The 16,582-nt window shown below is 38.7% G+C and overlaps 5 annotated features.

Moving 5' to 3' along the window:
- Positions 5,734-6,447: an enhancer, noted in NCBI's record as "OCT4-NANOG hESC enhancer chr13:56227375-56228088 (GRCh37/hg19 assembly coordinates)". NCBI's record gives its function as "activates a minimal SCP1, AML or CMV promoter by ChIP-STARR-seq in naive H9 embryonic stem cells {active_cell/tissue: H9 hESC(naive)}" and the evidence as "EXISTENCE:reporter gene assay evidence [ECO:0000049][PMID:30033119]".
- Positions 7,304-8,201: an enhancer, noted in NCBI's record as "OCT4-NANOG-H3K27ac hESC enhancer chr13:56228945-56229842 (GRCh37/hg19 assembly coordinates)". NCBI's record gives its function as "activates a minimal SCP1, AML or CMV promoter by ChIP-STARR-seq in naive and primed H9 embryonic stem cells {active_cell/tissue: H9 hESC(naive and primed)}" and the evidence as "EXISTENCE:reporter gene assay evidence [ECO:0000049][PMID:30033119]".
- Positions 9,098-9,994: an enhancer, noted in NCBI's record as "NANOG-H3K27ac-H3K4me1 hESC enhancer chr13:56230739-56231635 (GRCh37/hg19 assembly coordinates)". NCBI's record gives its function as "activates a minimal SCP1, AML or CMV promoter by ChIP-STARR-seq in primed H9 embryonic stem cells {active_cell/tissue: H9 hESC(primed)}" and the evidence as "EXISTENCE:reporter gene assay evidence [ECO:0000049][PMID:30033119]".
- Positions 12,684-13,580: an enhancer, noted in NCBI's record as "OCT4-NANOG-H3K27ac-H3K4me1 hESC enhancer chr13:56234325-56235221 (GRCh37/hg19 assembly coordinates)". NCBI's record gives its function as "activates a minimal SCP1, AML or CMV promoter by ChIP-STARR-seq in naive and primed H9 embryonic stem cells {active_cell/tissue: H9 hESC(naive and primed)}" and the evidence as "EXISTENCE:reporter gene assay evidence [ECO:0000049][PMID:30033119]".
- Positions 13,908-14,202: a silencer, noted in NCBI's record as "tiled region #559; K562 Repressive non-DNase unmatched - State 24:Quies". NCBI's record gives its function as "represses a minimal TATA promoter and a strong SV40 promoter by Sharpr-MPRA in K562 cells {active_cell/tissue: K562}" and the evidence as "EXISTENCE:reporter gene assay evidence [ECO:0000049][PMID:27701403]".

A 16,582-nucleotide genomic window follows, 5' to 3' on the forward strand; every position in this document is an offset into this window, starting at 1 on the left:
AAAAACCCCGTCTCTACTAAAAATACAAAAATCAGCCGGGCATGGAGGCACATGCCCGTAGTCCCAGCTACTTGGGAGGCTGAGGCGGGAGAATTGCTCGAAACCAGGAGGCAGAGACTGCGGTGAGCTAAGATCATACCATTGCACTCCAGCCTGGGCAACAAGAGTGAAACTGCATCTCAGAAAAATGAATAAATAAATAAATAAAAAATAAAAATTTAGCAACAATCAATTTTTATTGAGGTAGAATTTGCATGCTTAAAGACAAGAACCTGGACCAGATATTGTGGAGGTGTTTTTTTCCTCTTAAATCTAGTGTGCTTTGATTTCTTGCAATATGATTACATTATTTAAAAAGGCAACACAAGTTTAGATTTCTTCAAATGGAAATAAATTGAGGTAATACTTGTTGTGGTTGCTATTGCTTTATTGCTGTAGCTTTATTAAATAAATTTTAAAAAAGCTTAAGTTTGAAGGCTTCAAATGCAGGATCCTGAGCTATGAACTGAATGTAGAAAATCAGTAAGGTATGAAATAGCTTATTGTGTTTAGAGAAATGCAGTGTTTTCAATATGAGTAGGACATGCTATGTCAGCTTGTGTTTGAAGGTATATGTTCTGGGCTGGAGCTGGGAATTTGAGGAAATAAAAGTTAGATTGACTAGAGCCTGATTATGATGGATATTGCATGCTATACTAAGGAGTATGGGCTTTGTCCCCAAAGCCTTAAAAAAATAGTAAAAGATTCTAAGCACCAATTAATATTTGGGTTTTGCACTTTTTCCCATTGTACTTTTTATTTTTTAAGTTTTTAAAAAACTGTTCACTTTTAACACAATTTAAAGGAAAACAAAACATAAACAAAAATGAATTCTACTCTGATTATCTGTGAAGTTTGATTTTGTTAGAGAAAGAAATAAAATAATTTATAATGGAGAAGCTAAATCTAATAACCGTTGTTTAATAAAATATATTTAATACCACAGGAGATACAGTTTACTTCAGATACTGATATACTTTCACTTACTCATACAGTTCTTTCTATTAACAGTTCCCTTCTAAATAGAAACAGAGATTTTTATTAATGATTCTGTAGAAAATCACATATTCTAATAACTAAAATTAAACTATTTAAAATAATAAATAACATGTTTAGTTGAGTAATATCTTCCAGGCACAGTGCTAAGTTTTTCATATCTATTTAAATTAATTTGCCTATTAAGGAGAACTCTAGGAAGGAGTTTGCCGAGGTTTAGTCTCCCTGCATACCACCTATTATACTGGCAGACATATACTTGTCTGCTTTGACTTGCCTCTTGGACATTCAGGGACATTTTTTGGGGGAAAAATTAATTCCTTACTCCTGATACTTCCTTATATGTGTATAAAGTTTCAATATTGAAAAACTTCCTGACCCTGCTTCACCATTTCATTTTGTCACTAAGAAGATAAAGCAATGTTTTTGATTGGTAAACGAGGGAAAAAAATAACCATGTATTGGCCAGATGCAGCTTTCTTTCTATTGGAACCGAGAAATCATCAGGGAGTAAATCAGGGAATAAGTTTTACCCTCTCTTGCATCCCTAGTTCTTCACTCTGTGTTTTCTCTTTATTGCTGCAAAATTAATAGAAGATACAATTTAAACTTGGGTGTAGCAATACAATAGAAATGATTTTTTAGGAGGCAATTGCTTTAAGATCCAAGAAGTCATAAGAAAGCAAAACAAGTCTTGTATAAAAAGTAAGGATATTTGTAATCCTTCAAACCTTAGCAATCAACATAATTTAATAGACATTACAAAATGACATATTTTGCCTTTAAAATCTAGTGCTTTCAGCTGTGAAATAGAAGACATGAATTTATTAAATGAGGGTAAACTAATATAAATTAAAAGTTCAGCCTTAGCCGTGATATTAATATCTGTTCAACCTGACCTGTCTATTTTTCTCCCATTTCTGTAAAACACACTATCAAAAGTGGAGAATATGTATTCAAAGATAGCCCTCACAATCAGGGTCAGAGTTCCGTTCTGAAGACTTTAAAGCAACAAGCATACAAAAGTGTTTCAAGGGCATAACATTCCCCACAGAAGACCTCATTGGTTGCTTCTGGTCATCCTGAGCATTCTGCTGAAAACATCTGTCCTCCTAGATGTCCAATATCCTACCATCTGCTTAGTCAGCTATATTCTTAAAGGCACAATATGAAACATTGAAATCAGCAAATTAAAAACTCAGGCCTTAAATTGAAAATTCAGAATAAAACAGTAAGAAATTATGAAAAATGTCTCTAATCCAGGAGGTGCTAAAAAAAAAATACATGAATTAATCATCAAAAGCACAGAACTGATTACATACAGAAAGTTATAAAAGAAAATGTGTTCAAGGTAGAAGTTCCATACAGCACCTGGGGGCGGATTATAATGTTTTCTTTTTAAAACAGCACATTAATATAGTGGAACAATTCACATATCATTGGATTTGATGACTTAAGCTGCAGCCTTACTATTTTAATTCCATTAGAAGCCAAGTTCTGATCCAATGCTCTATTCTGTTAGAAATACAACAGAAAAATACTGTGCCAAATTCTGGTACAGTATACGTAGCCTCTCCTCATAGAGCTCATCCTGCCAACAAAATGCTCAGTCCAAATCAATAAGTAAATAACACCAGGAAAATATAGTTTGAAATGAATTGAAACAGAGTTACAGTGTAGCGGACAAAAATAAATCCTTTCACAAAACTGAGAGCTTTCTGAGTTATTTCAATCATGGAATGCACCTGCATATAACTCACTTAAAATTGTGGCATTTGTGAATTATAGATCTTTCATACATGTGAAAAACCGGCAAAAAAAAATGCACATACTTATTTCATTCTCCATTTAAGAGTTCTTTTAAAAACACATTGAAAGTGGCTGGACTTTCTGTTCTTTTCTTTTTTTTTTTTTTTAAATCATCAGTCAATTGACATCACACAGTATCTATATTTTAAGGAATAGAGGAGAGAGTCATAGTTTTCTAGGTATTTTCTGAAATTTCTTGAAAGGATAATAATGACACTTCTGGAAAGGTTAATAAGAAAATACTTTAAAATCTTATCTAGGATTTATAGACAAATAGAGAGTTGATGTATTCCTCTGATTAATTAAGGCCCAAACAGATGCATTATCCACAGGTTGTCAATTTTAGGAAGGAAGGAGCAAAAAGAAAGGAAATACAATTTTACTTAATATATAAAAATATCAAGCAGCTTACTTTAATAAAAAACTTTACTGGTAGATGTTATTATAAGTTAATTGAGAAGGCTAGAATAAATGGTAGATGCCTACAAAGAAAATAAATTAATTGAATTGCATACTAAATAAAATTGAGAATAATCTTGAACAGAACTATGCTACTGAAAATTTCATAACTAAACATTAATATAAGTGTGATGATAAAATTATAATCTAGATCACTAATCAGATTACCTAAATGATATTGCTAAATTATGCCAAGTTGTAATAGAATGATGGAAACCTTCACACTAACAAGATTTTTATAAGAAATGATTACTTCCAATATTAAAACAAAATTGATAGTAACTAGGAAAAAAAACAATTTTAAAAATAACTTTAAAAAATGATGCAGAAAAGCTAGAGAATACTATGATTTTATTCCACATGGTAAATGTGCTGCACTTTTATTATTGTAAGTGTCTAAGAATTGAAATTCTTTATAATTAAAAAGGTATGTGTATATATACACATACATAGGTGTATGTATACATATATGTGTGTATACATTCATAAATATACACATGTGTGTATACCCATCATGTATGTGATATATCATGTGCACACATGTACAGCTGTGTGTTCATGCATTTCACATATCTTTTCACATGTGTATACATATACATTTATATGCATACACATATGTGCTTATGCAGACACAAGATGGATAGATTGAATGTACACTGAATGATGTTAAAATGGTACAGGATAAGAAGTAGCAAAATTGACTTAAAACCTAATGCATTAAATCAATTATAATTGAAGGACTTGCTACCATACATTACAAGATTGAATCTTACTTAGTATGTTAACTACAGATATGATCAGTGTACAGGTAAAACAGTATACAGGTGAAACAGTGTTCTATGATTAGGAAGAATATAAAACCGTTTCTATATTGCCTCTGGTCATATTCTCCTAGCTTAGTCACAAAATTGGGACTGTTGCCTTTTAAATCTTATTCTTAAAATGGTATCTTCCTGAAAAGCAAATAGGTATTTAAAGTATAATATCCCAACCTTCTTCTATTCATTTCTCATCACCATCATCAATTATTTAAAGTTTTGTGCTATGTAAGTCACAGAAAAATTAATTAATTATAAGAGGAAAACAGAACAACAACATTTTATAAATTCTGTCTCAAACATTACCAGAATAAGATCGAAATCTCCGTGATGTTGGCAATGCACAGAACTGAAACTTAAATAAGGAAGAGTGTCTAGGAAAAAGGAGAGTTTTAATTTCTACTCAAATAAAAATGTTTTTAATAATAACCAACTCACAGGAGTTTGATTTTCATTACATCTGTTCAAGAGTTCTGTATATGTGGAAGGCTTCCCCTATTAATGGTTTAGTTCAAATCTCTAAAGGCCACAGAGTGTCTGTATTAACATGTTCCATAAAATGTGATGATGTACAAAGTGCAGACACTACATGGCCTCACCTCTTTGGGTTTGAGTATGCCTTTGTCTAAAATGGGGCCAATAATTACTAATTTTCAAAGTTGAAATTAATACAAATATGGAAGCATAGGTTTTTCTGCCTAGGTATTCCATAGTGTTATCTATGACCATTATCTCCTTCAAATTAATGGATTACCATGTGAAAAATAAATACTTTTTATATGTATTTTAATAAATTGTAGAACTCAATTATAGTACAGATAATATTTAGTCTTTACATTTTTAATATCACGTTATTAAAGTTAATATTTTTTCTAAGGACCAACTTTTGTTCATTAACCATGTTATCTCAAGTTTGTCATATAAAGAAATGCTCAGGATTTATTCTATGTTCAGCTATGAAATTTTAAACATGTTCTTTATAATTTTTGTAAGTCCTGTTGAGGGGTGGAGTTGTCGGGACTTCCTGGGCCGGTTCAGGGACCTTCACAAAAGTCCCCTGTTACTCAGGGTTTTGAGTTCTTAGCCAATTGAGTGAAGGATTCAAAATTAACCACTCCAAGGGAGGATTGAAAAAAGAACCATTCTCAGTTGACAAAAAAGAAAGAAAGGGGAGGGGGTAGCACAGGGATATAAGCCCTAGCCACCGGAGCCAGCAACAACAACCCTTCCGGCTCCCCTTCCGCTATGTGGAAGCTTTCCTTTCACTTTGTTCAATAAACTGCACTGCTACTCATTGTCCTGGTCTGTGGACTCTTTTTGAGCTGTAACACTGTGAAGGTCTGCAGCTTCATTCTTCATAGTTAGCAAGACCACGAACCTATCCCATCAGCAGGAAAAACTCCTGACTCACTGTCTCTTCTTAATTCCTAGCTTTGAATTTATGCGTATCTTCAAGGTTGTTGAAGTTCCATTTTGAAAATTAAAAATAAATAAATAATAAATAACTAGAGAATGCATAGGGACCACTGACTTAAATTTCCAACACGACCTACATAATCACATCAAATTATCAAAGACATATATAAATATTAAATTTCATAAAACAACTTTGATGAGTTAATGCTTTTATCTAGCTTTTGTCCATACTTTAGATGAACTGAATCAAGCCTACTATACTCACTGACCCAGCTAAATGTATACTTTGCAAAGGAGTAATAAGAAATGTCCTGTGTGGTGTGTGTGGCCATGTGCCAATGTGAATAAATGGTGTGTTGAGCGTAGAGTGGTAGCTAGACTTTAGAATTTGCTTGAGGGTATTAGTTTGAATAAATGTTTATTAAGGATAAACTACTTCAACTGATACTTGTTTGCATAAGTTTTCCGTAGGGGTTAGGTGCTTAAAATCTCCTTCAGGGATATTGCTTTGCATAAGCTGTTTGCATTTAGATTCCATCCCTCTAGGAGATGTTAATTGCTTGATCTGTCATTAAAGTGTGGAGATTTAGATCCTGTTAAAGTAATACCCTGGAGTGTGATTGAGTGCAGCTGCTGAAGTGAATTAGAATAAGTTTGAATCCTGGAGGTTTGCTCTAGGATGGATAAACCAATCCTGTGAATTGTCTTACTCCACCACTAGAAGATAAGTTCCATGCAAGCAAACGTTTTGCCTCCTTGCTGATTTTTCTCTACAGCCTAGGGAATATACCTGGCCCATGGAAGGCACGTAACTATCTGTTAGATAACTGAATGAGTGGAGTAATTTTTAGTAGGAACTATTTATCTCCTTAGCTGGTATCCAAATAAAACTAAATAAAAAGTTCTTAAAAACCAATATTTTATTCTCTAAATATTATTTATACTATGAAGGGCATGCCAGATCTACTTCTGTGTGCTAGTGATGAGTATGAATACAAAATATCTGAGACAGGTCTCAGTCAATTTAGAAAGTTTGTTTTGCCAAGGTTAAAGACATGCTCATGACACAGCCTCAGGAGGTCCTGACCACACGTGCCCAAGGTGGTCGGGGTACAGCTTGCTTTTATACATTTTAGGGAGACATAATACATCAATCAATACATGTAAGATTTACATTAGTTTGATCTGGAAAAGCAGAAAAACTTGAAGCAGGTTGGGGCACTTAGCTTCCAGGTTATAGGTAGATTTAAACATATTCCCATTGGAAATTGTTTGAAAGAATGATTATCAGTAGAAAGGAATGACTGAGTTAAGATAAGGGGTTGTGAAGACCAAGGTTTTATCATGCAGATGAAGCCTCCAGGTGGCAAGGTTCAGAGAAAATAGATTGTAAATATTTCTTATCAGACTTAAGGTCTTTGTTGATCTTAATGCTGGAGGGATATAATGAGGCATGTTTGACCCCCACTTCCCATTATGGCCTGAACCAGTCTTTCAGATTAAATGTTAGGAATTGCTGGCCAAGGAGGGAGTCTATTCAGATGATTGCAGTGGGGGGTACTTCAAATTTTATTTTTGATTTACATTGTATACCCATCATTTTAAAAAATTTCTTTTAATTTCCTTCACTATCCCTACTATTATGATTAAATTTTTTGATCAACTTGGTTAGGCTATAGTACCTACTTTATGGTCAAACAACCACCTAGATGTTCTGTGAAGATCTTTTTTAGATGTGCTTAACATTTATACATCCATCTGTCTATTTTAATGGGTTTAAATGTATGGGGTATAAGTGTAATTTTGTTACATGCATAGATTCTGCAATGGCAAAATCAGAACTTTTAGAGTATACATCACCCAAAAAACATACACACATTAAACCTTTCATGCGCGTCCGTGTGAAGAGACCACCAAACAGGCTTTGTGTGAGCAACATGGCTGTTTATTTCACCTGGGCGCAGGCGGGCTGAGTCCAAAAAGAGAGTCAGTGAAGGGAGATAAGGATGGGGCCGTTTTATAGGATTTGGGTAGGTAAAGGAAAATTACAGTCAAAGGGGGTTTGTTCTCTGGCGGGCAGGAGTGGGGGGTTGCAAGGTGCTCAGTGGGGGTGCTTTTTGAGCCAGGATGAGCCAGGAAAAGGACTTTCACAAGGTAATATCATCACTTAAGGCAAGGACCAGCCATTTACACTTCTTTTGTGGTGGAATGTCATCAGTTAAGGTGGGGCAGGGCATTTTCACTTCTTTTGTGATTCTTCAGTTACTTCAGGCCATCTGGGCATATACGTGCAAGTCACAGGGGATGCGATGGCTTGGCTTGGGCTCAGAGGCCTGACATTCCTGCCTTCTTATATTAATAAGAAAAATAAAACAAAATAGTGTTGAAGTGTTGGGACAGCGAAAATTTTTGGGGGGTGGTATCTAGAGAGAATGGGCGATGTTTCTCAGGGCTGCTTCAAGTGGGATTAGGGTCGGCGTGGGAACCTAGAGTGGGAGAGATTAAGCTGAAGGGAGGTCTTGTGGTAAGGGGTGATATTGTGGGGATGTTAGAAGAAACATTTGTCATATAGAATGATTGGTGATGGCCTAGATACGGTTTTGGATGAATTGAGAAACTAAATGGAATAACAGAAGGAGAAAAACAGGTATAAAAGGTCTAAGAATTGGGACGACTCAGGATATCTGATTAGAGAGTGCCTAAGGAGATTCAGCATAGTCCTGCCAGCAAAGATTATTTATTTACTTCAAGAGTTAATAGTGACAGTTTGGGGATAGCACCAGGAGATATCAGCTGTGATGGCTTGGAAAAACAGTGTAAACCGGCAGTGTAAACAAGAGCAAGGCATGTATGAGTAGTTGAGAACGGTGAATAGGAGGATGACTAGACAGAAAATAGTAGGGATGACAAGTTTTTTTTTTTTTTTTTTGGTGGGGCACAGTCTAAGTTGGTCTGGTGTCTGGAATGAGACTGGGGCCTAATAAAAAGGAGCATCTATACAGGAGCTTAAATGGGCTGTACCCTGTAGCATTCCGAGGACAGGCCTGAATTCTGAGAAGGGAAAGTGGTAAAAGTATTGTCCAGTCCTTTTTAAGTTGGTGGCTGAGCTTGGTGAGGAGTGTTTTTAAAAGACCTTTAGTCCATTCTACTTTTCTTGAAGATGGAGGACCATAAGGGATATAAAGGTTTCACTGAATACTCAGAGCCTGAAAAACTGCTTGGCTGATTTGACTAATAAAGGCTGATCTGTTATCAGACTGTATTGAGGTGGGAAGGCTAAACTGAGGAATTATGTCTGACAGAATGGAAGAAATGACTGTGGTGGCCTTCTCAAACCCTGTAGGAAAGGCCTCTACCTATCCAGTGAAAGTATCTACCTAGACTAAGAGGTATTTTAGTTATCGGTCTCAGGGCATGTTGAGTAAAGCTAATTTGCCAGTCCTGGGTGGGGCAAATCCTGGAGCTTGATGTGTAGGGAAGGGAGGGGGCCTGAATAATCCCTGAGGAGTAGTAGAATAGCAGATGGAACACTGAGAAGTTATTTCCTTGAGGATAGATTTCAACGATGGAAAGGAAATGAGAGGTTCTAAGAGGCGGGCTAGTGGCTTGTACTATAGCATAACCTGCCTTTGCTGGTGTGTGGTGATTAGGCCTGGTGGAACCCCCATCAATAAATAAGCGTGATCAGGGTGAGCAACAGGAAAGAAGGAAATTTGGGGAAATGGGGTGAATGTCAGGTGGATCAGAGAGATACAGTCATGGGGTTCAGGTGTGGTATCAGGAATAATGTGGGAGGCCGGATTGAAGTCTGAGCCAGGAACAATGGTAATTGTGGGAGACTCAACAAAGAGTGAGTACAGCTGAAGGAGCCGGGAAGCAGAAAGTATATGCGTCAGGTATGAGGAAGAAAATAGATTTTGGAAGTTATGAGAACTGTAGAGAGTGAGTTGAGCATAGTTTGTGATTTTGAGGGCCTCTAAAAGTATTAATGCAGTGGCAGCCACTGCACGCAGACATGAGGGCTAGGCTAAAACAGTAAGGTCAAGTTGTTTGGACAGAAAGGCTACAGGGTGTGGTCCTGGCTCTTGTGTAAGAATTCTGACTGCGCTAACCATGCCTAGGAAGGAAAGGAGTTGTTGTTTTGTAGAAGGTGCTGGGGTTTGAGAGATCAGTGGGACACGATTGGCAGCACGTGTGTGGCAGCACGTGTGTTTTTATGAGAATTATGCTGAGATAGGTAACAGATGAGGAAGAAATTTGGGCTTGAATGAAGTAATGGGGGCTGTCTGTGAAGCTTTGCGGCAGTACAGCCTAGGTAATTTGCTGAGCGTGATGGGTGTCAGGGTCAGTCCAAGTGAAAGCAAAGAGAGGATGGGACGAGGGGTGCAGGGGAATAGTGAAAAAAGCATCTTTAAGATCAAGCAGGGAATAGTGAGTTGTGGAGGAAGGTATTGAGGACAAAAGAGTGTATGGGTTGGGCACCACAGGGTGGATAGGCAAAACAATTTGGTTGATAAGGCGCAGATCCTGAACTAAGTTGTAAGGCTTGTCTGGTTTTAGGACAGGTAAAATGGGGAAATTGTAAGGAGAGTTTATAGGCTTTAAAAGGCCATGCTGTAGCAGGCGAGTGATAACAGGCTTTAATCTTTTTAAAGCGTGCTGTGGGATGGGATATTGGCATTGAGTGGGGTAAGTGTGATTAGGTTTTAATGAGATGGTAAGAGGTGCATGATCGGTAGCCAAGGAGGGAGTAGAGGTATATTATACTTGTGGGTTAAGGTCGGGGGATACAAGAGGAGGATGCAAAGGAGGCTTTGGATTGGGAAGAAGGGCGGCAATGAGATATAGCTGTAGCCCAGGAATAGTCAGGGCAGCAGATAATTTAGTTAAAGTGTCTCGGCCTAATAAGGGAACTGGGCAGGTGGGGATAACTAAAAAGGAGTGCTTCAAAGAGTATTGTCTAAGTTGGCACCAGAGTTGGGGAGTTTTAAGAGGTTTAGAAGCCTGGCCGTCAATACCCACAACAGTTATGGAGGCAAGGGAAACAGCCCTTGAAAAGAAGGTAATGTGGAGTGGGTAGCCTCTGTATTGATGAAGAAGGGGACGGGCTTACTTTCCACTGTGAGAGTTACCCGAAGCTCAGCATCCGTGGTGGTCTAGGGGGCTTCCGAGGCGATCCGGCAGTGTCAGTCTTCAGCCGCTAAGCCAAGAAGATCTGCGAAGGAGTCAGTCAGAGAGGCTTGGGCCAGAGTTCCAGGGGCTCTGCGAGTGGCTGCCAGGTGAGTTGAACAGTCCGATTTTCAGTGGGGTCCCACACAGATGGGACACGGCTTAGGAGGAATCCCGGGCTGTGGGCATTCCTTGGCCCAGTGGCCAGATTTCTGGCATGTGTAGCAAGCTCCTATGGGAGGAGGTTCTGGAGGAATGCCTGGCTGCTGCGGTTCAGGCGTTTGGAAGTTCTTGTGTGCTGGAGATGTGGCTGGGGTTTTTCTCACAGTGGAGGCAAGGAATTGCAACTTTTTTCTATTATTGTACACCTTGAAGGCGAGGTTAATTAAATCCTGTTGTGGGGTTTGAGGGCTGGAATTTAATTTTTGGAGTTTTATTTAATGTCGGGAGCAGATTGGGTAATAAAATGTATTTTGAGAATAAGACGGCCTTTTGACCTTTTAGGGTCTAGGGCTGTAAAGTGTCTCAGGGTTGCTGCCAAACAAGTCATGAACTGGGCTGGATTTTTATATTTGATGAAAAAGAGCCTAAACACTATCTGATTTGGGATAAAGAAAAAGGAGCATTAACCTTGACTATGCCTTTGGCTCTAGCCACCTTTTTAAGAGTAAATTGCTGGGCAGGAGGGGGAGGGCTAGTCAGGGAACGAAGCTGTAAGCAGGACCAGGTGTGAGGAGGGGAGGTGATAAAAAAATTATAGGGTGGAGGAGCAGAGGCTGAGGAAGAATTGGGACCTAGCTCGGCCTGGCAAGGAGCAGCCTGGGGAGGAAGGGAGAGGTCAGATGGGTCTGTAGAAAAGGAAGATTAGAAAGACTCAGCGATGCTTGGGGTTGGTACTGAGGGGACAGGTGGGAGGGAAAGAAGGAAGATTTGGGACGAGTTGCACTGGGCACAGAGACTAGGAAGGGACTGATGTGTAAAAGAATGCCTGGACGTCAGGCACCTCAGACCATTTACCTATTTTACGACAAGAATTATTTAGATCTTGCAGGATGGAAAAATTCAAAGTGCCATTTTCTGGCTATTTGGAACTACTGTCGAGTTTGTATTGGGGTCAAGCGGCATTGCAGAAGAAAATAAGGCATTTAGGTTTTAGGTGAGGTGTGAGTTGAAGAGGTTTTAAGTTTTTGAGAACACAGGCCAAGGGAGTAGAAGGAGGAATGGAGGGTGGAAGGTTGCCTATAGTGAAGGAAGCAAGCCTAGAGAAGAGAGAGAGTAGAGAAACGGAGGGAAGGGGTTCGGGGGTTCTTACCTTCCAGAAAAGTAGGAAAAGGGGTTGGGGTGTGGAAATAAGGGATTGGGGTGCAGAGATATAAGAGGTTGGAGCGTGGAAATAAGGGATTGGGGCACAGAGATAAGAGGTCGGGGTGCAGAAATAAGGGATTGGGGCACAGAGATAAGAGGTCGGGGTGCGGAAATAAGGGATTGGGGCACAGAGATAAGAGGTTGGGGCATGGAAATAAGGGATTGGGGGTTCTTGCCCCATAGAAAAGCAGGACTTACCACTAAGGGTGAAGGAGAAGGGGTTGAGGGGTATTTGCCCCTCTCCTAGAAAAGCAGAGAAGGGGTAGAGACAAGGAGAGAAGGGGTTGAGGGGTACTTGTCCCTTCCTCAGAAAAGCAGGACTTGCCGCTAAGGGTGAAGGACCAAGGCAGGCGTCCCTGCGTGGTCTGACACCCTTGAAACATGAGTGTATAATCAGAGAGGCGTCCCTGCAATGATTAAACACCGAGGGAAGGCTGCCTTCCCAGTCCGTGACCGGCACCGGAGTTTTGGGTCCACGGATAAAACGTGTCTCGTTTGTCTCTACCAGAAAATGAAAGGAATTGAAATTAAGAGAAGGGAGAGATTGAAGTGTGGCGCCAAGATTGAAAGGAGAAAGAGGTTGAGGGATAGTGAGGGACGTTGGAGAAAAGAGTAAAATGAGGCCGCTTACCAGATTTGAAATTGGTGAGATGTTTCTTGGGCTGGTCGGTCTGAGGACCTGAGGTAGTAGGTGGATCTTTCTCACGGAGCAAAGAACAGGAGGACAGGGGATTGATCTGGGAAGGGAGGTCCCCAGATCTGAGTCATGGCACCAAATTTCATGCGTGTCCATGTGAAGAGACCACCAAACAGGCTTTGTGTGAGCAACATGGCTGTTTATTTCACCTGGGTGCAGGTGGGCTGAGTCCAGAAAGAGAGTCAGTGAAGGGAGATAAGGATGGGGCCGTTTTATAGGATTTAGGTAGGTAAAGGAAAATTACAGTCAAGGGGGTTCTCTGGCGGGCAGGAGTGGGGGTCGCAAAGTGCTCAGTGGGGGTGCTTTTTGAGCCAGGATGAGCCAGGAAAAGGACTTTCACAAGGTAATGTCATCACTTAAGGCAAGGATCAGCCATTTACACTTCTTTTGTGGTGGAATGTCATCAGTTAAGGTGGGGCAGGGCATTTTCACTTCTTTTGTGATTCTTCAGTTACTTCAGGCCATCTGGGTATATACGTGCAAGTCACAGGGGATGCAATGGCTTGGCTTGGGCTCAGAGGCCTGACAAAACCTATTAAGTAATCTCTCATTATTCACTCTTTTTCTACCCCCTTAAATCAGTAAACCTTTGAATAAAGCAGATTAACCTTCATAATGTGGGGGAACCTCATGCAATTATCTGATGAACTCAAGACAAAAGACTGAGGTCCCTTGAAGGGGAAAGGATTCTGGCTTCTGACTATGTCTGCACTGAAAATTGCAGTATTAACTACTGCTGGAATTTCCAGCCTGCTGGCCAATTCTGCAGATTCCAGACTTGCCAGCTTCCAAAATCAAGTAAGCCAATTTCCTGAAAATAAATGTCTTTCTCTATCTCCCTCTCCCACCCTTTCTCTTGTACTTCCTCTCCACTCGTCTATCACTCTCCTATTGGTTGTTTTTTCTGAGGAATCCTGACTAATGTGCCTTAAGTAAATTTTTGGCAGTAAGCTCCCTCATGTAGTAAGGATGAGCATTTTGATATGTTTTGTCTTTGTTCTTTTATTTTTTAATAAAAATCTTTTTAGATAATAATCTTACTTTTTAAGATAATCTAACTCTGACAGGGCTTGGTGATACGGTAGGACAAATGTATTTTTGCTTATGACAACTTTTCACAACCCTTGTAGCCCAAATTAGCAGGATAGGAAATAATAACCATGAAGAAACTGGTGATATGGACAGGAGGCAGAGGAATACTAGATAGAAAAGGCAGGGTGTTTGGCAAGGGTTTTACCTTCAAGCCTGGACCCACTGCCCTAAATGAGAACTTCACATCCCCATTTTCCCACCCAAATGTCGCCTTTTGGCCTGCCATACACCTTTTCCTGTGCCCATAAAAACCCCAAGCTCCACTGGCAGAGTGGTGCAGCAGAGAAGGAGAGAAGAGGTGTCTGAATGGCCATTGGTTGAATTAAGCTTTGTGTAAAGACTTGAAGTCGGTACAAAGGAATCCTTGAGTCAAGCTGAGGGAGTTGTAGAGGTCAAGGCCCTTGTTTCGTAGACGAAGCCTCATAGATAGCCGCCTTCAGAGAGAATAGATGGTAAATATCTCTTTCCAAACCTTAAAGGTATCTGACTCTCTATTAATCTCTCCTAGATTTGGGCAAAGGCTAGGAAGAAAGGCCTGGATGCATTAGTGAAGATTTTCTACAGACAGAAATTTCCCCCACAAAAAACATTAGTTTTGCAGGGCTATTTCAAAATATGTCAAATAAATATATTTTGGGGGTAAAATACTTTGATTTCCTTCAAGGTCTGCCATCTGTTATGTGATGCTATACCAGCGTCAAGTTGGAAACTCAGCCACATTATACTGGGATAATTTTAGAAATGATTTAGTGAGATTATATGGTTTGTAGGTTATGACTTAACCCCTATCTTGCATGGTCTTAGGTCTTGTTTATAATCTGGTGTCTTATTGCACAATAAGTCTGTCCTATAAGACTTATGATCTGTTTTAACCTAAACTCCAAAAGTGAGGGGATATAATGAGACATGTCCAACCTCCCTTCTGAAATGGCCAGGGATTCAGTTTTTCAGGTTTCTTTGGGGTCTCCTTGGCCAAAAAGGGTCCATTTAATCAGTTGGGGAGTCTAGAATTTTATTTTTGTTTTACAAATGATACCCACCATGAACAGAGCAGTGTCTCCCAATGATGTCTCTGTCTTAATCCCAGTAACCTGTGACTAGGCTAATTATACAAATAGTATTAAGGTTGAAGATGAAATTGAGGTTGTTAGTTAGCTGACCTTAAAAGAGGGTGATCATCCTGAATTTTCTATGTGGTCCCAATGTCAGTCATCACAAGTGCTCTTGAAACTATTAGAATGGGGCAGAAAAGCAGATCAGAGTGATAGGATATGAGAAGGAGTCAATCTACCATTGTTGGCTTTTTAAATTCAGGAAATGGGCCACAAACCAAGGAATACAGATGCTTCCAGCAGCTGGAAAAGGCAAACAAACAACCAACTCAGATTCTCCCTAGCATCTATAGAAAGAAGTACAGCCCTGCCAACACATTACCTTTAGTCCAATGAGAACTTCATCAGACTTCTGACCTATGGAAATATAAGAATAAATTTGTGTTTTTCAGTCCATCAAGTTTGTGGTAATTTGCTACAGAAGCAAGAAAAAATTATTACAATAATGATGATAAAATAATGACTACAATAAAATTAATCTTAGCAATAATTTTTGTCTATATAATATATGCCAAAAATAATATTATTTGAGGAGGAACATTACTTTGAAGACAGTTTTATTTTCATACTATTCATTAAGCTTTACAATAAAAATGGCATTTCTCCTTTCAGGGATAAGATTAAGTTGCTATGTGTGACAATTGATAATTTTTTTATTTGCTTTTTGCTACTTCTTTTATTCAAACAATATCTTACTGGTCATAATAATGTCTACAATTTACTAAGCAGCTGAAATATTACAGATGTTGTGCAAGGCAATTATTTCCTATAATAGTTTTCCCTGATATATCAGATTAAAGATAGAGATTATATCTTGACTCACCATAACCTAATACACATTATTTCATTATATCTACTTCCATCTGTAGGCTTTATACTTCCAGTTCTCTCTAACACCCTCCACCTTAAAATTACTTTTGGAGATTTCTCTCTCTGTCTCTTCTCTCTGTCTCCATTCATCATTCCAACTATTATTTTGCTGTTATTTCATTCATTGATTCCACAAATATTTTGAGGGTTTTATTATGTACAAGTTGTATTGTATTCCAACTGTTGAATACAGAGCAGTATACAAAGAAAGTGATATCTCTACTTCCATGAGGTTAGTATTCCAGTAAGAGAAACATGTAATAAACAATAGACAAGTGATTGTGGTTACTTTGGATTGCAATAATTACTACTTTTTTTGTAACATGTAGTGAATAAGAATGAACTGTGTGTAGTTTGGGGAGATGAGCATATAAAATTTTTAAAAGGATATGCTTTTGAAGTAAAATATAGTGTTTTTTCCTTAAGACTTTGGGTCTAATTGATCTCAGTAAATATTGTGGTTTTCAGAGTTAAGGTGTTTCTCTAGTTATTCTCATAAAGAGATCCAAGAATTGCATGGTCCCCACCTGTTTCAAAGTATCAAAAATGTGATTATATCAGGACTTACTACTTGTTTTTAGTATTCAAATCTATTCATCCTTTGATCTTAAGCATATATGGGTAGTCAATGCAATCATTGTCATTCCTGTTTTAAATCATTCTGTAGAAGATGCTGCTGTTTGCCCTGAAACAGTGGTAGGCTTCAGGTTGAGCTGATCCTCCATGGGCAGCTTAACTTC

This window comes from Homo sapiens, chromosome 13 (genome assembly GCF_000001405.40).
Source record: "Homo sapiens chromosome 13, GRCh38.p14 Primary Assembly".
In the NCBI taxonomy this organism is placed as follows: Eukaryota; Metazoa; Chordata; class Mammalia; order Primates; family Hominidae; genus Homo; species Homo sapiens.